The 18,089-nt window shown below is 59.0% G+C and overlaps 1 protein-coding gene and 1 pseudogene across 6 annotated transcripts in view, besides 9 other annotated features; one reads left to right on the forward strand and one right to left on the reverse strand.

The window, feature by feature from the left end:
- Positions 1–15,477, reverse strand: part of PLXND1 (plexin D1) — a 51,463-nt gene extending 35,986 nt beyond the window's left edge. For all 6 annotated transcript variants that reach the window (XM_011512589.2, NM_015103.3, XM_011512588.3 and 3 more), the window contains exon 1: positions 14,130–15,477. In XM_011512589.2, the coding sequence (XP_011510891.1) occupies positions 14,130–15,440 (1,311 nt within the window). In that variant the 5' untranslated portion in view covers positions 15,441–15,477. The remainder of the gene's footprint in view (positions 1–14,129) is intronic.
- On the forward strand, positions 150–379 carry RN7SL752P (RNA, 7SL, cytoplasmic 752, pseudogene; annotated as a pseudogene).
- Positions 5,019–5,750: an enhancer, noted in NCBI's record as "H3K27ac-H3K4me1 hESC enhancer chr3:129315061-129315792 (GRCh37/hg19 assembly coordinates)". NCBI's record gives its function as "activates a minimal SCP1, AML or CMV promoter by ChIP-STARR-seq in naive H9 embryonic stem cells {active_cell/tissue: H9 hESC(naive)}" and the evidence as "EXISTENCE:reporter gene assay evidence [ECO:0000049][PMID:30033119]".
- Positions 11,736–12,728: an enhancer, noted in NCBI's record as "H3K4me1 hESC enhancer chr3:129321778-129322770 (GRCh37/hg19 assembly coordinates)". NCBI's record gives its function as "activates a minimal SCP1, AML or CMV promoter by ChIP-STARR-seq in naive and primed H9 embryonic stem cells {active_cell/tissue: H9 hESC(naive and primed)}" and the evidence as "EXISTENCE:reporter gene assay evidence [ECO:0000049][PMID:30033119]".
- Positions 12,007–12,301: a silencer, noted in NCBI's record as "tiled region #6157; HepG2 Repressive DNase unmatched - State 2:TssF, and K562 Repressive DNase unmatched - State 8:EnhW". NCBI's record gives its function as "represses a minimal TATA promoter and a strong SV40 promoter by Sharpr-MPRA in HepG2 and K562 cells {active_cell/tissue: HepG2 | K562}" and the evidence as "EXISTENCE:reporter gene assay evidence [ECO:0000049][PMID:27701403]".
- Positions 13,721–14,713: an enhancer, noted in NCBI's record as "H3K27ac-H3K4me1 hESC enhancer chr3:129323763-129324755 (GRCh37/hg19 assembly coordinates)". NCBI's record gives its function as "activates a minimal SCP1, AML or CMV promoter by ChIP-STARR-seq in naive H9 embryonic stem cells {active_cell/tissue: H9 hESC(naive)}" and the evidence as "EXISTENCE:reporter gene assay evidence [ECO:0000049][PMID:30033119]".
- Positions 15,436–15,495: a silencer, noted in NCBI's record as "silent region_14726". NCBI's record gives its function as "represses an Ori minimal core promoter by ATAC-STARR-seq in GM12878 lymphoblastoid cells {active_cell/tissue: GM12878}" and the evidence as "EXISTENCE:reporter gene assay evidence [ECO:0000049][PMID:35858748]".
- Positions 15,646–15,805: a silencer, noted in NCBI's record as "silent region_14727". NCBI's record gives its function as "represses an Ori minimal core promoter by ATAC-STARR-seq in GM12878 lymphoblastoid cells {active_cell/tissue: GM12878}" and the evidence as "EXISTENCE:reporter gene assay evidence [ECO:0000049][PMID:35858748]".
- Positions 15,646–16,698: a biological region, named in NCBI's record as "H3K27ac-H3K4me1 hESC enhancer GRCh37_chr3:129325748-129326740".
- Positions 15,706–16,698: an enhancer, noted in NCBI's record as "H3K27ac-H3K4me1 hESC enhancer chr3:129325748-129326740 (GRCh37/hg19 assembly coordinates)". NCBI's record gives its function as "activates a minimal SCP1, AML or CMV promoter by ChIP-STARR-seq in naive H9 embryonic stem cells {active_cell/tissue: H9 hESC(naive)}" and the evidence as "EXISTENCE:reporter gene assay evidence [ECO:0000049][PMID:30033119]".
- Positions 16,699–17,689: an enhancer, noted in NCBI's record as "H3K27ac-H3K4me1 hESC enhancer chr3:129326741-129327731 (GRCh37/hg19 assembly coordinates)". NCBI's record gives its function as "activates a minimal SCP1, AML or CMV promoter by ChIP-STARR-seq in naive H9 embryonic stem cells {active_cell/tissue: H9 hESC(naive)}" and the evidence as "EXISTENCE:reporter gene assay evidence [ECO:0000049][PMID:30033119]".

Raw genomic sequence — 18,089 nt, forward strand, 5'->3', positions numbered from 1 at the left:
GGAATGGTCTTCCGGAGGATGACGGCGGGTGACCCAGGCAAGGCACTTCGCCTCTGAGCCTCATTTTACTCAACTATAAAATGGGTATATCCATAGTGTTTTCCGCATAGAGGCTGGGATGAATCATTTGTTTTAAAGTGTTCCCAAACGCCGGGCGTGGTGGCACGTGCCTGTAGTTCCCAGCTACTTGGGAGGCTGAGGCTGGAGGATCACTTGAGTCCAGGAGTTCTAGGCTGTAGTGTGCTATGCTGATCGGGTGTCCACACTAAGTTCAGCATCAATATGGTGACCTCCCGGGAGCGGGGGACCACCAGGTTGCCTAAGGAGGGGTGAACTGGCCCAGGTCGGAAACGGAGCAGGTTAAAGTGTTCATACAGTACCTGGCCCACAGTAAGTGTCCAGGAAGTGTTAGCCGATACTATTGTGTTTCAGACATGACTGCTGCTTATGTTATTATTATGAAGTAAAAGTTACCCATGTTCAACTGCTGATCAAAAAAGAAAGAAAGAAAATTCAGGGCAAATCATGCCTACCTTAAAGCTTTTGAGCAGCCATCCTCTCACCTGGACAGCCCTCCCAGCCCTCTTCATTTTCCAAGACCACTCTTGCCCCCTACACTGACATTTCCTATCTGCTAACACAGCTGCCAAATGAGCCCTTTAAAAATGTAAAGCAGGTCTCCCCCGATTCAAGCCCTCCCATGGTTTCCAGGACACTCAGAATAAATCCTGAATCCTAAATCCTCCCGTGGGTCCCCTCATCTTCTAACTCCATTTCACACCTCCCTTGCCCTTGCTCCTTCACCCCAGCCACACTGGCCTCATTTCTGTGCCTCAAATATCACAAGCTCGTTCCTGCCTCAGGACCTCTGGCCTGGCCGCTCCCTCTGCCCAGGAAGCCATTCCCCCCCACCCGAGAGCTGCATCATTGGCACCTCCTCTCAGTGCCAGCCCTGACCTACCCGACTCCATCCTGTGTGTGTTACAGTTGGGGACAGCCCTGGAAGGTGGGTGCTGAGCGGTCTCCCCAGCTGCCCCAACCAGGCGGGGTCCCACCCCTCAGCAATCCTGCAGCTGCAGGGAAGAGGTGAGGTGGGATCCTCACCACTGCGAGGGATGATTTTCCTAGGGGCTAGGTAACTAAGTAACTTTTTTCACTGAATATGAATTACTTGCATCATTTAAAAATAAGTTGTTTAAAATTAAAATTGTGAATCCCTCCCACCAAGGGAACATAAGTTCTGGAAGGGGACACCTGGGAGGCCCCAGATGACACCTTTGGGCATACCCTGACATCCAGCCAGGGTGGGGTCCTGGGAAAAGGCGGACCAGGCGCCCAGCTCGGGGTGATCTGTGGGCTAGGGCAGCAGGGAGGAGGGGAGCAGGAGGGAGGGGAGCTCGCTGGGAGCCCGCTCCCCCCTCCCCCACCCCGCGCTGACTTTCACAAGCCATTAATTCTGCACCGAAGGAATTTTCTAAAAGGCCTTTCCCCCAGCGTTTTTTCCCCTTATCCTAAAATAAAATTTTAAAAAATTTTTTTAAAGAAGTAAGCCGTCGGCTGCTCCGAATGATCTGTGTTCCGAGGGGGAAGCTGATTCCCCAGCTGCCAGGGGAAATCACAAGGCAAACCGGCTCAAACACGGAAGCCCAGCGTGGCGGGAAGTGCCGCCCCTGCTGGGGGAGGGGGATGCAGGCTGGGGGAGGGGGACACGGGACTCGGGGACTAGACGTCCTGAGCATGCTGGCCTCGGCTGAACTTGGTCTCCAGGGACAGTTAGCCTCACAGGCCCAAAATACCCCCTGACCCCAGCACCGTCCTCCTTAAAGGCTAATGAGCATGAGTCTTTCAAAACTCAAGTTCTCCTGAGAGCAGGGAAGGCTCGGCTATCCCCGCAGCGCCCTCCAAGTCACAGGGCCATCTTTCTCTCACACAAAGCTGGTCAGACCCTCCCTACCTACAACCCAGCTCCTGGCTGTCCTCGGGATCAAGCCCCAGCAGTCCAGCCTCGCATTCAAGGCCTTCGTGCCCCAGCTCCTGCCAGCTCCCAGGCCTCCAGTCTCCCTCCTCCCTCTGCCCCACCCGCTGCGCCCACCACATCAGTCTCCACAGGTCCTGGAATGTGCCCACACCTCATACCCGGGGCTCTTGTACCATTGTAAATGTCCCTTCAGCAGCCAATGCCCATCCCATGCCTCTGAGGCATTCGTACTCCCCTTGGCACTTCAGCGCCCCCGGTGTCTGGACCCATGCTGTTCCCTCTCCAGGCATGCCCAGACGGCAAGTTTTCAAGATGTGGCTCAGCCCCCCAACTCCTGTGATGGCACTGTGCTGGTCACACATTTCCCATGGCAGCACATGCATGACGTTCTCCAGCATGGAGCCTGTGCTCTGGAGGGAATGTTTACAAAAGAAAGGAACCTAATTTTGACTAAAGTGTGAACGACTGTGGTCAGCTGCTTTCTCTCTAAGTCGAGTGACTGAGAGCAACACGGCCATGCTGGGTGCTGGAGAACTGAGGGAAACGTATGCCTACTCTGCGTGTGGCAACAAAGGGAGGCGGGTATTCAGGCCCAGGCAACACTGGCTGCTAGCTTCAGTTCCTGTAAAAACCTCACTTTATCCCTCTCTCACATGGGATGAGCAACCGCCGCTGGTTTCGGCCCCGTTTTGAGAGCAGGATGCCCCCTCCCCCTCCAGCTGGCTCCCTCCTGGGGCCAAAGCTCAGCTCTGCCCACTCTCCCATTAAAACTCTGACATATTGATTTTACTACCAGCTGTAATTGTGTTGACTTTCTCTCCCCAGGAAGCCAGTTGGAAGGAGCGCTTCAAGAGCCCGGCTTCTCAGGCCTCACATCCTGCCGCAGACCCACCGCAGGTGGCACTATGAAAAGGATGCGGCATTAACAGTGGGCGCTGCGGCAGGTTGCAAAATCCAGCGGTTCCGTCACAGGTACAGACTGCATGGCTACCACACCGGCTGCGGAGGCTTTGCACTTGAGAAGTGAGGGCACCTTCCTGCCTGAAGTGTTTGATTGTTTATGATCCTGGGAAAGTCAGGTTTCCTTGCCACAGAGCTGAAATTTGCCACAGAGCTGAAAGCACATGATCACTTTGGGGTATTAAGACTGCAGGGTGGGCCGTTCGCACCATGGCTCACGCCTGTAATCCCAGCGCTTTGGGAGGTGGACGTGGAAGGATCGCCTGAAGCCTGGAGGTCAAGGCTGCAGTGAGCTATAATTTCACCACCGCACTCCAGTCTGGGTGACAGAGACCCTGTCTCGAAAAAATAAAAATAAAAAAACTGCAAGGTGACCGCAGCTCACTACATCCTGGCCGGGGACTGGGCTGTCTGGACCCCCCAGCTCCTCCCAAAGCTGGGCTCCTTCCCATTCATCCTTCACGGGAGCCAAAGAGAGCTTTTAAAACTGCAAAGCGCTTAATGCAACATGGGCTCCTGGAAAAGAAAGCAGACGTTTGTGGAGTGCAGTCTGGAGTTTAGTTGGGAGTAAAGAACAAATGTTGGCTTCTTAGTTTTGACAAATGTACCACGGTAACGGTAAGATGTTAGCAATGGGAGAAACTAGGGGACGGGTATACAGGAACTGTCTGTACTATCTTTGTAACTTTCCTGAAAATCTAAAATTATTCCAAAGTAAAAAGTTTATTTTGTAAAAAAAAAAAACCCCGCAAAGCAGGTCACATCTCCTGTGCAGCTCAACAGCTTCCCATGGTTCCCTAGTGCTGTCAACACAAACCCAAACTTTGCTCCTGGGCCCTTGAAGCCCCACTCAATCTGGCCCTGACCTCTGTGGCCTCTCTCAGCCCCCGTCCCCGCCAACTCCTCCCTCAGCTTGGACAGCCCAGGTAGGTAGGGCCAGTCCTCCTGGGCTCCCCTGAGTGGAGCCCATGTGGCACGGGCTCAGTGGTGGCCTGTGGACTGTGTCCAGTCTCAGTCCAGCAGCCCAGCCGCACACAGCCAGGCCAGGGTATGAAGCCACACCTGTGACTCCCAGACCCCAGCTCCTTCCACTTCAGCATGCACTGCCTCTCAGAACACTGTGCAAGCTGACACCTCTGCTGAGAGTAAACTGAGGCAAGGAATGAGCCATGGGCACACTGTGTGCCAGCCCTGGGAGGGGGCAGGACGGACTCGGTCCTGGGTGGCCTCTGGCAGCAGCCCCCATGCCAGGGAGGAGACCACCTGCTGCTGAGAAAGTAAATACCAGCGCCTTCAGGGGTGACCAAGAGGCTTCCTGGAGGGGCTGTAGGGAGAAGATGGCCAACCAGGCCTAGCACCATGGTCAGGAAGCCTGGCCTTAGCCACAGAGGAAAAGCAGCCTGGAGGAGCACGTTGGAGAAACCAAGGCACAGAGAAGAGCAGAGGCTTCAGACAAACGGCAAAGGACACAGCAGCTCTGGCAGACCCTTCGGGGAGGCCTGCCTTGGTTTCCCTGACCCCTCTGGAAGAGGCGGGTCACCCAGCTCCAGGGCTTTGAGGTTATCCAGACCAGCTGGACACCATCTGGAAGGGCTGAAGCCAGCCAGCCAGGCCGCCCTGAGGGCCAACACACAGACTGGGCATGATCTGCCCACCCACCCCAAACAGGCATGGCCTGGAAGGACAAGCCCCAGGCTTAGGTCACAAGCCTGGCTGGATTAAGGACCTACTGTGTGACACTACAGCTACTGGGGGCACCTTACAGCCCTGGGGGTGCACGCACGCACACACACACACACACACACACACACTCTTGCTGCGTACCCATTTTACAGATGAGAAAGCTGAGGCTCCTGACTCCTAAGTCTCACAGCTCTTACCTCACTATGGGAGGCACCATCCCCTCTGAACCTCGGACTCCACATCTGTAAAATAAGACAGCAATAGCACCCACCACCTAGGGCTTATGGAAGGACTGAGCTCATAGGAGCCTTCAGTGCTAAGCACTGTAGGTGCTCAATAAATGTTCCCAATTAGCTATGCAGACCACGGAGCAGAGGCTCGGGAGCTCCCGAGGACAGGGACAAGCCACTCCACCGCTTCCTGAAGTCAAAGCATCCGAGGCTGGATGGGCTACACCGCCCTCACCAAGGACACAGTAGTGGGAGCTCTGGCCTCGGCCTGCTCTGCCCTGGCGCCTGGGAACCACCGCCACAGTCGCTGACTCAAGCAGCCATTGTTTAGTTAGCTGGACGCAGCCCCTAGACACCCAGCTCCCCCTTCATGAAGCTGTTTCTCATTCCGGCCCGGCCTGGCCCCATTTCCAGCTCCCCTCCCCCTGGGTCCCAGAGGAGCACAGTGTGGGATGGGCAGCCAGCGGCTCTTCCCTGGCCCAGGGAAAAGGCTTCCCTCCCCCCAGCAGGAGGGGCAGAGCACGAAGCCAGTCTTTCCAAGCCCTGGAACAGTTTCCCTCCCAGCTTCCTCCCCTGAAGGGACTCCAGGCCAGGAGCCGAGAAATAGTTGCCTCTCCAGGGAACACTGGCAGTTCCCTCCTGGGGCTGGGGGGACTTGGAGGTTCGATCTCACACCCTCCTCCCCAGCCCCTGGTCTCCTCGGGGTCCAGCCCATATGCCTGGCCGCAGGCTGTGCTCTGCAGCAGGACTCTACCGCTGGTCCCAGAGTCATCGCACGACCGCTGTGGACACAGCCAAGAAGACAGGGCTGCTTGGAGCCTTGCGCAAACATCTCCGGGCTGGATTCCATGAGCTGGGGACACAGAGGTGACAACGGGGCCCTCTCTCCAGCTGCCCACATCCGAGCTCAGAGGCCCAGCCCCAGGATGGGGAGGGGCAGCTTTCTCATAGTAACAGTTCGGTAGAGTGACAGTAGCAAGCAGCTGTGTGCAGTCTGCTTTGTGCTGAGACCTCTTTCTGTATTATCTCATTCAACCCTCACCACACCCTGAAAGAGTTGATGCTGCTTTACAGTAAAGGAAACTGAGGCACAGAGAGTTGAAGTGATTTGCCCAGGGGCACACAGCCGGAATGGCTAGATCCAAGCCTCCAGCGCAGGCCTGCGGGCTCCAGATCCCCGCCCTTAACCACAGCCTCCCCACCCGCCGCTCTGCTGGGAGCCACCAATGGTTGCCAGGAAATCAGCCGCTTGGAGCTGGAAAAACCCTGGGTTTTGAGCTGGGGAAACTGAGGCCCATCAAGGTGATGGCTGCTTCTAGAGAGCTCAGTCACCTCAAACAAAGATAGCGGGCAGAGGCTGGAGAAGGGCACAGGCAAGGGGGTTTGGCCACTTTCCTGGGCCTGGCCTCCACTCCAAGGCCTCTGCCTGCGGGCCCCCCCCCATTATTTACCGATCAGAGCATAAAGTGCTACATGATTAACGCCCCACTGGGGCCTTGCCGGGACTCGTAATGGAGCTGCGAGCTTCCCTCCCCCTCCAGCGCATGATTTATCAAGTTTCAGGGTAAAGGACGGTGGACTAGGCGGGGAGGGCCCCCGCTGGCGCTGGCCCCCAGATCTTGACTGCATCGAGTATCAGCCGAGCAGGGTGGAGCAGGGCCCCTGCCACTGGATGCCTGTCTGGGCGGTCTGTTTGGTTCGGCCCTGGCTCAGACATGGCCTTTGGAAAGAAGAAAACGGCTGTACTTGGGGGGCAGTGAGGATCCAAGTCCACGTGGCTGGCACTCAGAGACTTTCTGGGCTTGTCCCCACTCGGGAACCGGCTGGTTTCCATGGCAATCCCCACATGGCTGTCAGAGCTGGAGAGGCCCTCGGGAGTTACCTGGTCCAGCCACAGTGGGGGCTCCGGGTGAGCGCCTCCGCCCCTGGATCCTGCCAGCACCTGGCAGGGCCAATACAGACCAGCAGCCACAGGGTCCCTTCCGGAACCAGATCAGCCATGTCTCTCCTTTCCCCAAAGCCCTGCTGGCTCCCCGCAGCCCACATGACAGCATCCAAGTCTTTAGCCTGCAGGCAAGGCCCAGCACACTCTCAGCTTCCCCTCGGCCTGCTACCCAAGCCACATTCCAACATCTCTGAGCCTTTGCCCCTATCGTGTGCTCTGCCTGGAATGCCTTCCCCAGCCCCATCTGTCAAGTGCTGCTCCAACCTCCCCTCCTCCAGGAAGCCCTCCCGCACTCCTCTGATGAGCTGGTTAGTGTGTGGCATCTGTCTGATGTCATGACCTCCTCCCTCACCATTCTGGGGGCTCCTGGAGAGGGTCCAATTTGTCTCTCTTGGGGGCTGTCCTGTAGCAAGCTGAGCCTCCTCCCATACTCACATACTCTAGAGAGCTCCCCACCCAGAGCTTGGACGGGCATGCGATGTTACCAAGGAGGTGCTGGCCTCTGGTATGTGTGGGTGGAGACAGCTACAGGCCCGGTAGCAGGAGTCCACACCAGGGGGTCATCCTAACCCCAGCCCGCGACCATGATGGGCGCTGGGGCTGGGCAGCTCTGCAGGCCACCCTGAAAGGCCCTCACTGCTTCTCACAGGGGCCTCGGCGGACGCAGAAGTTCCCTGGGTCTCAGTTTCCTCACCTTTAAAATGGGCCCATTCACCCCTTCCGACACCCTCTGGCTCACACCCCTTCGGTCAAAGATTTTGGAGGAATGAGGGGTCACAGGCGCTACAGCCAGAAGCCTGCTCCACCTGGAGCACCACAGTCACACACCACGGTGTGACCTCAGGCAAGATGCTTAACCCTTCTGGACCTCTGTTTCCCCTTCCATAGACTGGGGATAACAGTCATGTCATTCAGGTTCTGGGGAGATTAAAAGATATGTAAAGTGCTCTGCAAAGGGCTAACACAGAGAAAGTTCTCAAGCAACAACCACAGTAATTATGACATGATGGGGCAGTTCTGGTGTCAGAGGGAAGGCTTCCTTGCCACTCCATGGGCCAACTCCAGGGTCGGAGAACGGAGGCCCAGGTAGGGGAAGGCACCACTCTCTCCCGGGGCTCCTGCCCTCCCGCTCCTGTCCCAGTACACGCCACGCGTCTTTGTTCACGGCAGCAACCAGGACATGGAACCCAGCTGGTTTCCTTAATCTCCATGGAGACCGGGAGTCACAGGCGGGTGAATCGGACTTTGCAGAGGGCGTTTCTGCCGGGCCCGATGCGCGTGGCCCTTGCTGAATGCCGCCAGGCCACTCCAGTCTTCCCTGCGCTCAGCCCACTTTATAGATGGGAAAATGGAGGCTCCAAGAACGGATGGGACTTTCCACAGCTAGGAAGGGGCAGAGGCAGGATTTGAATCTGGGAAGTTGGCCCCAGGGTCCTGCACTCACCTAGCGATGTGCGCCTGCCTGGCTGTGGAAGGCCTCACTGTGGGCGTATCCAGGGCGCTGACAGATCCCCCACTCACCCTCCTGGGTGGACCATCATTCACACTGACCATTGAACCCACATCTCTCATTTGCACACCCAAAGGGCCATGGGCTCACTCCTTCCAGAGGCTGATGATCGCATTTTCAGACAAATGCAACTAGAAGTTCCTTGCCTCCCCTGACTTCCTCAGGAAGCTGGGTCAGCCCCCATCCCCCAGCATGTGGCCTGGCCTCTGCAGATGCCCCAGCCCGCCTGAGTCACTGCTATCACAATGGGCCCTGCCTGAATCTCTATGGCCCAGCCAGAGGGGGAACTGCAGAATTCCCCACCACGGAGAGCTCACAGCTCACCAGCCACCAGGAAGAGGACTCCTGCTTCTATCTGCGGATCCAGACCCTCACTCCCCAGCTGTGTGAGCCAGGGCAAGTCACTTCCCCTCTCTTGGCCTCAGTTTCCCCTTCTGTAAGCTGGGGATGATGATGACGCACTGTCTGCCTGACCAGGGGAGGGGCAGCCATGAGGTCAACCATGTAGGTGCTTATAAAAGGCCTGCAGAGCGCGAGCTCGGCGACGGTTTTTATTCACTCCAAGGAGCCCACAGGCCTCTTGCCTTCAAGACAGTGCTGCCCTGGACTCCTCAGCCCGGGCACTAGAGACCATTCTCTCCATCTCAGTCTCTGTGCTGGGGCTGGGACAGCACCCAACACACCCTTGCTGCACCCAGGCGTCTCACCCACCCCTGCCTGCCTTCAGGCCCTATTTGATCTCATCTCCTCCAAGGCCCTGACCCTCCCTCCTCTGAGCATCCCCTGTCCACTGAGGCCAGTTTTTTCTGGTGTCTTTTCTCCCTCTTGATACTAATACCTGTGCCTGCCATTTCCTGGGCACTGCATGTGAGGTTTTATTTTATGTATTTATTTTTTATTATGGGCAGCCCCCTAAGCCAGAGTAGGCTGAGAGAGACACCCCTGAGATTTTAATCTACCCACATCCTAGGAGGGAGGCATAAGACCTGTTTTATAATGAGAAAGAATGAGGCCCAGAGAGGGTAAATGACTGGCCCTGGGACACACAGCTTATGGACTGTATGCCCATGTACCTGGGGGTCGAGACATTCTCAGGGCTGGGAGGGATGTCTCCTGGTCCAAGCCCTATCTGTTTCTCCAGGCCAGAGGGTCATCTCAGCCAATCCTCCTAGAACCCCCTCTCCTAAATCCTGCCAAGTGTCTCTGCTTGCACCCTTCGTCACTGGGAGATCACTCCCAGCCCCCAGCCCAAACCCAAATGTAAAGCCCATCTTGGAAGCTCTCTCTCCCTCCGCCCCCACCTGGCATCTCAGCCCCTAAATTGGTGCAAAAAAATGTCTTCTTGACGACGTGCACCCACCCACTGCATGCCAGTTTAAAACTGCCTGATGGTTTTTTTTCCACCTTTACTATAAAAAGACACCTTGAAAATGCTGCACTGACATTGGCCTGTCGGTATTCCTTTTGTTTTAAAAATACAAATATTATGGTCATTCATAGGTTGGGGAGAAAGACTTGGGGAAGGAAGGTAGACTCAGTCTGCCCCACCTTGTTGGGTGATGCTGTGCCTCAGTTTCCCCCATCAGTGGCACTCAACAACTTCCCAACTGGCTTGCACTCCAAACAGGTTGTGATTTGAGGAAAGGGATCCAAGCTACATGCAATGGAGGCTAATTTCTTCACTCAGTTTCTCTCAAAATATCTTAACTGCCCCAAATACGTTGAAAACAATCAGGGACAAATTTGGGGACTTCTGAGGGCTGCGGGGACCGAGGTTCTCTGCCTCTGGCCTCACACTTCAGCAGCTTCTCCCTTTGGGTTCTCGGGAAGAAGGTGGAGGGCAGAGGGCAAGTCCTGTCAGCTGGGAACCCGGAATGTCGGGAGGCCATCCTGACCCAGGCTCTGGAGTTGTGGGCGGCTCAAGGGATTCCTGCCAGGGCCCAGGGTTCTTCGTGAGACCCTCAAGCAGGAGCGAGAGGCTGGGTTTCCAAAGGCCTGGCTGAGCTGCCCCACTTGCAGGTCATTCGGCCCTGGGGTCCTGCCCCATGTGCAGCCCCACCCAGGCCACCCAGTGCCAGTGACAGAGAAATCCAGCCAGATGGGACCAGGAGAAAAAAGGATTCTAGGCTCCTGGTTCTCCCCAGACCAAACTCATCCTCTTCCCCAGAGGTACCCCATCACATGCCCCACCCCATGGGTACCAACATCTATCCTGTTGCTGAGCCTGACTCTGGGCAGCTTTCTGCTCCTCCATCCCATCACTCCCCACCACTGGGGCTGCATCCCAGCCCCCAAATCTGTCCAGAGCCCACCTGCCACCCTCCAAGCCCTCAGCACTGCTGCAGACCAGGCCAGCCATGTCTCCAGAGAACAAGGCCGGCCCCATCTCCCCACTGCCATCTGGCACCCACCACAGAGCCTGGCACACAGTAAGTGCTCAAGATATATTTGCGACTGAGTGAAGGAATCTATTCCCGGGAGGCGGCCTCAGCCTCTCAGCCACTCTCCCTCCTCCATTGCTCCTTCTCACCAGCTACCTAGGGGCTTTCTAAAATAATAGGTAGAAGAATTGTAGTCATTGCAAACAGGCGCCAGGTACATAAATGATCTCATTTAATACCCCCAACAGCCCTAAGAGGCAGGTATTCACGAGCATTCCCCTTCTGCAGCGGGGAGACTCAGGTGCCTGCTGAGACCACTCCACTTCTCTGGCTAAAACCCTTCATGGCTCCCAGGACCCCAGGATAAAGTCCAGACTCCCAAGGACGGTCTCCCCAGGCCTCCCTGGCCCTTGTGTCATGTGCTTCCCACTCTACTCGCCTGGCCACGCAGACCCCCTCGAGCCTGCTCACAGCCTTCGCACAGGCTGCTCCCTTTGCCTGGATGCCTTTCCTCTTCTCCGGCCTCACCTGGCTTCCTCCTGCTCCTCCGCCCCCTCCGCTGGGCTCCCTCCACCCTCATTCTCCCTTTGCGGCACGCATTGCCCTGTGTATAAGGGCCTGGTCACACATCCGTCCTCGGCTCACCTGCCCAGCCCACAAGAGTAGAAACAAAGTGAGTTGCCATTGGCTCCCCAGGGCACAGCATGGGACTGGGCTCACAATAGGGACTTAGTAAATGTCTATGGAGGTGTCATCTGGGGCTAGAAGTAGGAGATGGTGGGGTGTTTACAGCTGCAGAACAAGCCAGATTAGGCAACTGCTCTCCAGGACCAAGCAGAGACCTGTGCTAATAATGTCCCTTAGAGTAATAACAAGAAGAACTGCCATCTGCTTGGTGCTTACTGTGTACTGGGTACACTGAGCTGCATTTATCGATTCATCTAGTCCTTAAAACAATGCTTTGGGATAAGGATTGCTTTTACTGTCCCCACTTCACAGATGAAGAAACTGAGGCCCAGAGAGGTTAAGTTCCTTGGCCAAGGTCACACAGCTGGGAAGTGACAAAGTGGGACTTGAACCCAAGCAGCCTGATGCAAAGTCTAGGTTCTGAATCTGTCGCTGCATAGCTGGCAACAGCCTGGAGCAAGAATAATGATCCCTCCCCCACCCCTGCCCATGCTAGAGGCCCAGACCGGGGACCTTGAGCACCTCTGGGAGATACTGCCAAGTGGCACTGGCCTGTGCCCACAGCGGGCACGGCGAAGAGGAGAAGGGTGTGGAAAACACAGGGAGGGTGACCAAGGAAGGCCGCAGCCGGAATCTGTGGCCTTGGGGTGGGGAAGAGGCCCTTCGCCACTCTGTCCTGGGGCTGTGTCCCTGGAGAGGCCCTGTCCCCTTAGGTAGAGAAGCTCCAGCCCCCCTCAGCTGGGTGAGTCACTGCACCGAGGGAGCGGACCGTGGGAACCAGAATGGTTCTTGCCAGAGGGGGAGGGAACCCTGGGCTGGCCTAAGGAATCCCACAGATCAGCTTACACCAAAGGGCCGAGACACAGGGCCTGAAACTACTGGAGGAAGGCCCTCAGTCCACAGGACACTTCTCTCCATTCAGCGACTCCCCACTGAGACCCCCAGTGCCAAACACAGTTGCCTGCGAGATGAAGCTCTGGGGTGGAGATGGTGGATGAACCAACCATGGCACAGGGCAAGCAGCCCCACCACCCTTTGGACTGTCTGCCCTGCTCACCCACCGTGACCTTTACTTTCAGGGTGGCCGGCCAGATGGTGGGCAGTCGTGGGAGACCGACCTCGACCTTGGGAGAAGGAATCTGCATTTTCTCAAAGCCCCAGTGTTGGGCCCGCCCACAGAGGAATGGTTAATCTCATGAAATTCTTGTCACAGCCATGGAGAAGGGACAGGGTGGGGCCCCAAGGAAGGCTTGGGTCACCACAAGAAGGCTGAGTTCTGCATTTTGCTGATGGAGATGCAGCTTCCTAAGGGAATGGCAGGCAGTGGAGCTGAAGTGGGCTCGCCAGACTCAGATGGGTGGAGGGTGTGGGAAAGGCCCCAGTGTCATTCTGGGGCCTCATTCCTCAGGGTGAACTATGGGGATCAACAGACCCAGCTCCCAAAGCCAGTGTGAGGAGCAATCCCTTGCCATGAACTTCCTTTCAGGGAACCACACCAAGTCCCCTCCCGCACCCTTGTCATGTCAACACACATGCTGATTCCGTCAACCTGGCCCCCCTTGCTACTGCCCAACCCAGCCTCAGACACCTGGGCCCCATGCCTGCCTGTACTCCTCCTCATTCCCCACTGAGCCCCACGGCCCTCTCCTGCCCCCAAAACACCCCTGTTCACATCCCTCCATTCTCCTGGCCCTGGCATCTGCCCACCCCAGCTGCCTGGGACGCCCCCAAAACACACGCACTCTGAGATCCAAGTCCAGAAGGCAGCAAAGGCTGGGCATTAAAAACACAGATGCTGAGGCCAGACAGGCTGGATTCAAATCCACCTCTGCTAGTGCCCAACTGTGTGATCCTCAGCAAGTTGCTTAACCTCTCTGTGCCTGTTTCTTCATCTGTAAAATGTGATGAGAATAGAGGCTACCTGAGAGGGTTGTTCTGAGAACTGGGAATTGTGACATGTGATGCCCCTAGCTGGCACTCCACAAGTGCTATTGTTTACCCCAGACTCCCACACCTGGTACATACTAGGTGCTCAGGAAATATTTGCAGAATAGGTGAATAAAAGTTGGCCTCAGGCACACACCTGTTTGCCAACCATGCAGCCTCCTCAGAGTACCGACTCATGCCCAAATACCTGCGTCCCCTGCCACGCACATCCCACTGCACACCTAGCCCTGTCCCGTTGTACCAGTGTCTGTGCAGTACACCTGTCTGCCCTGTGCGTCTTCAGGCCCCAGCTTGCTGGCACACAAGTCCATGCAGACATCTGCAGGGCCCTGGTGCACACCTGTGTGCCTCCTTGCACACCTGCCACACCCATGCACCCATCACCAACGTGCAATGGTAACTCTGACAGGCTCACGCAGTGGCCCCAGAACACAACTTTGGTCAGGCATGCAGTCACTTACTGCGCCCTCAGCATGCACCTGTGACCCTCACGTGCATACCTGGGCTTTATGCGCACCTGGGTACCTGTGGCAACTTGGACCCCTCCCAGTACGCCTAGGTATGCGCGCCCATGAGCCGGCACTCACTTGAGTCCCTGCACATGCCCACCTGGGCCATACAGGCGCCAGTAGTACCCCTCGGGGGACACCTGTATTCTCGCGTGCACACCTGGGTTCCACGTACATCTGGATCTCTGCGCGCTCCCACCTGTGACCCACTCAGCTCACGACCCGCTCGGTTCCCGCCCGCCCCCGCCCCCGCCCCCGCCGCCGCCGCCGCCGCCGCCGCCGCCACCGCCCGGGTGTACCTGGATGTTGAGCTTGCGCTCACAGGCCGGTCCCGTGCCCTGCACCACGCTGTCGAGCACCGCCACCACGTCGGGCGCCGGTTCCACGAAGCAGGCGGTGCGCGCAGCTCGGATGGCGGCTCGCACGTCGGCGAAGCGGAAGGCGCAGAGTGCGGCCGGAGCAGCGCGGGCCGCGGGGGACCCCTGGGGCCGCTCGAAGACAGCAAAGAGCCGCTCCCGGGCTGGGAAGACCGACACCAGGCGGCTGTAGAGGTCGCCGCGGCCCGCGCCGCCCGCGCACTGCAAGCCCAACTGGATGTAGGACTCGGTGAGCTTCTTGGCGTCGCCGCCGGCGCCGTGGGGCAGGCAGATGCGCGCCAGCAGGCTCCGCGCCTGGCTCTCCTTGTCGCCCGCGCGCGCCTCGCTGTTGAGCGCCAGGTACGCGTAGGACTGTGCACCCGGCGGCGGGTCGGACGGGTGCAGGAAGGCGCTCACGAAGCCCAGCTTGTGCTGCTCCTTGGCGCCCTGCTTGATCTTGAGGATGTTGTCGTCGGAGGGGTTGAGGTCGAAGGTGAAGAGCTTGGCCAGGTCGCCGCGCGTGTCCAGGGAGCGGATGGCGATCTCGGGCGTGTTCTCGAAGCGGTGGTCCTCCAGGCTGCGGTTGCGCGGGAAGAAGGAGCTGCCGTAACCGGTGTACGTGGCGCCCACGAGCAGGCGGCTGCCCCCCGCGCCCGCGGCGGGAGGCAGAACTAGCCCCACGGTGGACGCGTTCGGGTGGTTGGCCGCCACGTTCAGCATGCTGGGGAACACCGTGACGGGCTCGGCGGGCGGCGCGGCGGGCGGGAAGCGCACGGCCACGGCCGAGATGTTGCCCCGGCGCCGCAGCTGGCAGAAGCCCTGGTAGATGGACCCGCACACGACTACCAGGCCCTGGCCGGGGTCCAGCTGCAGGATCTTGTTGTAGTTGTCCGTGAGGCGCCGCGGGTGCTCGCACGAGGCCTGCGGCAGCTGCGGAGCGTGACACAGCGGGCTGTCGGGCACCGGGCCCACGGCCGCCTCGGCCTCCAGGCTCAGGTTGGCGCCCGACAGCTGATAGAGGCGGTTGACGGCCGCCAGGTACACGGTCCCCGCCGCGCCGTCCAGGGCGAAGTTGTTGGTGGGCGTGGGCGAGGGGAACCGACGCTGGATCTCCAGGGCGCCGGCCCGCGCCGCCCCCAGGAGCAGCAGCAACAGCAGCGGCACCGGGCACCGCGGCGGCGTCTGGAACGGCGGGGGGCTGGCGGCGGCGGCCCGGGCGCTAAGGGGTGCGCCGCCCGCGGCGCGAGGAGCCATCCGGGCGTGCGCGGGCTGCGCGGCGCGGCGAGTGCATGGGGCGAGGCGCGGCCGGGAGCCGGGAGCCCGGAGGCGGCGGGAGGCGGGGGGCGGGCCCGGGCCGCGATGCGCTTCCTGCCCGCGCCAGCCGCCCCCGACCCCGGCGCCCGGGCCCGGGTCAGCCTCGCCGCGCAGCCCGGGGGCGGGGCGGGGGCGGCTCCGCTGCGGACACGCCCTCACTCCCCGCCCCGGCCCCGCCCGCCCCCGGGACCCCCGCCTGCCCCTGGCCGCCCTGGGCCACGCCCCGCCGTCCGCGGGTCCCGCCGCCCGCGCCCTCCAGGACCCGCCCGCGGCCCCAGGGTCCCTCCCCGTAGCCGCCGCCGCCGTCGCTCGCTCTCCTCGCTCTTTCCTCCCACTTGGCCGCTTGGCCTGCCTCGCTCGCGCCTGTTTTCTCTTTTCCGCCCTCTCCCCCACCCCGTCTCTCCCTCTCTCTGCGTCTCTCGGTCTCTGCGTCTCTCCGTCTCTGTCCCCACCCCAAACTCCGCGCGTGTGGCGCTTCTCCGGGTTCTGCCTCTGCTTCTCCTTCTCCCTCCGACTCCGCTTCGCTCTCCAGTCCCTGGCAGCCCCGCCCCCGGCCCTTTCTAGTCTCCTTCTCTCTCCTGCTCCGTTTTTCCGTCCCTGACGCTCGCTCCCTCTCTCCGTGGCTCCCTCTGCCTCCCCCTCGGACCCTCCGTCCCTCTCTCGGTCCCTCTGAGCTCCCCTTTCCTTCTCCCTCTGCCTTCCCGAACCCTGTGTCTCCCCTCCACACTCAGCCTCCCTCCACCACCTTTCTCAGGCACTGTCCAGGCCTTCGCTCCCCCGGTGCCGGCCAGTCGGGCCCCCCAGACCCCATAATCTGTCCCCCAAACCCCAGACCCATAAAAGGGATTTACAAGTGGCAGGGCCAGAGGGACCAGTGCTCAGGGTCAGATATATAAATGAGGAAAACATGGAGAGAGGAAATAGTTCCAGCCAGTGGCCCACAACCGATAGCCAGAGCAAGGCCTTGGTCCTGGAGCCCACAGTTGCCTCCTGTGGAGACCCAGCCGCACCCCCACCCCTGGCACCCCCGCCAGGCACTTTCCCTGACATCCTCCCAGGCTTAGTGGAAGATTAGTCCCACAAAAGCCGGCACTGGGCAGGGTTCTTGATCTCAAAAGCAGCGTTAGGGGCAGGCAGCCTGGTTCCAAGGTCACAGCCCTGTGAGGACCATGCGCCGTGGCTGTTTTGCGGGGGTGCTCACACAGGGCTAGCCCGTGCCAGACACTGTGCCAAGCACTTGCCATGTACGGGCTCTCTTTTTCCTCACAGATTCCCCCGAGGCGAGCGCTATTGGTAACCCATCTTCCAGATATGGAAACCAAGGCTGAGGGGAAGGGACTGGCCCAAGATGCACAGCTCATGAGGAGCAGAGCTACAGTGTTTGAAAGCAAAAGCCCTTCAGCTCCGACCTCTCAGAACGGGGCCTCCCATCAGACCCCCAGCTTCCACAGGGTGCCCGGTGGGCCTCACTCTGAGAGTAGCGGGACCTCATTTTCCTCTTTCCCACCCAACCAGGAAGGAAGGGCAGGGGTGTCTGTGCACCATGGGGCCGGCAGGAAAGGCTGGGCCTGCAGCCGCCCCCCACTTCCCTCAACACCCTCGCCTTCCTGCCATCCTGCCCGCCTTGTTCCAGACCCCTCAGCCCTGGTCTGGCCACTGCTTTGATGGCCGGGAGTGTTGAGCTGCAGGAAATTGGAGGCCCCCTCCCAGGCCCATCCACCCACCAAGAGCCACTCAGGGGACTGCCCGTGGGACTGTGTCCCTGTCTTCCTCTCTGGATGGAGAAGGCGCACATCGTGCCACCCGTGGGGGCCAACTGCAGAGCCCAGCAGGGGTGCATGGGGCCTGCCTCCATGCCCCTCCTCCTCACTCACATCCTCAGTGCCCCCACCCCAGTCCATCCGCTGGTCTCTCTGTCTTATCTCTCTCTCTCCTGCCCCCACCCATCTCTGTTCCTATCTGTCTTGCTCCTCCCGTTCACTCTCTTTGTCTCTCCTTCTCTCAGTGTCTTGCCCCCTTCCCTTTCCACTCTTCATCTGTCTCTCTGTGTCTCTATCTCTGTCTCTCTCTCTGTCTCCCTCCCTATCCCTCACCCCCACTCCCTCTCCAGCCCCTCCTCTCTTCCTTCCTGTCTCCCGCTCATCTGGTTCATCTTGCTGCATCCTGCAGCTCCCCCCACTGAGCCGTGAGGATAATGCTCAGTGTTGTCTTAGACCAGCCTGTGGTGATGATCCTGGGCACTTGGGACACAAGCTCCCTGCCAAGCTGAGCAGTGGGGTTTAGGAGCTCTCTAGGTGAAGGGTATTCGGGTCTGAGTATCCTCACATCAACTGGAGGTGAGAAGTGCTGTGTGGTCTTGTGCAAGGCACTCACCCTCTCTGAGCCTCAGTTTCCTCAACTGTAAAATGAGGACAATCGTAGCAGAACACCTGCCCCTGGGAGGGTGTGAGATGGAGAATATAACATAACAGGTGTCAAGCACAACAAGGCTCTTAGCAAACACCAGTTTCTCCCCGCCTTGTGGCAGTGAACCATGACCCCTGAAGCCCATGTTAGAGCCAGGAGTTGGGGTGGGGGGCATTGCAACTA

Source organism: Homo sapiens, chromosome 3 (assembly GCF_000001405.40).
Source record: "Homo sapiens chromosome 3, GRCh38.p14 Primary Assembly".
NCBI lineage: Eukaryota > Metazoa > Chordata > Mammalia > Primates > Hominidae > Homo > Homo sapiens.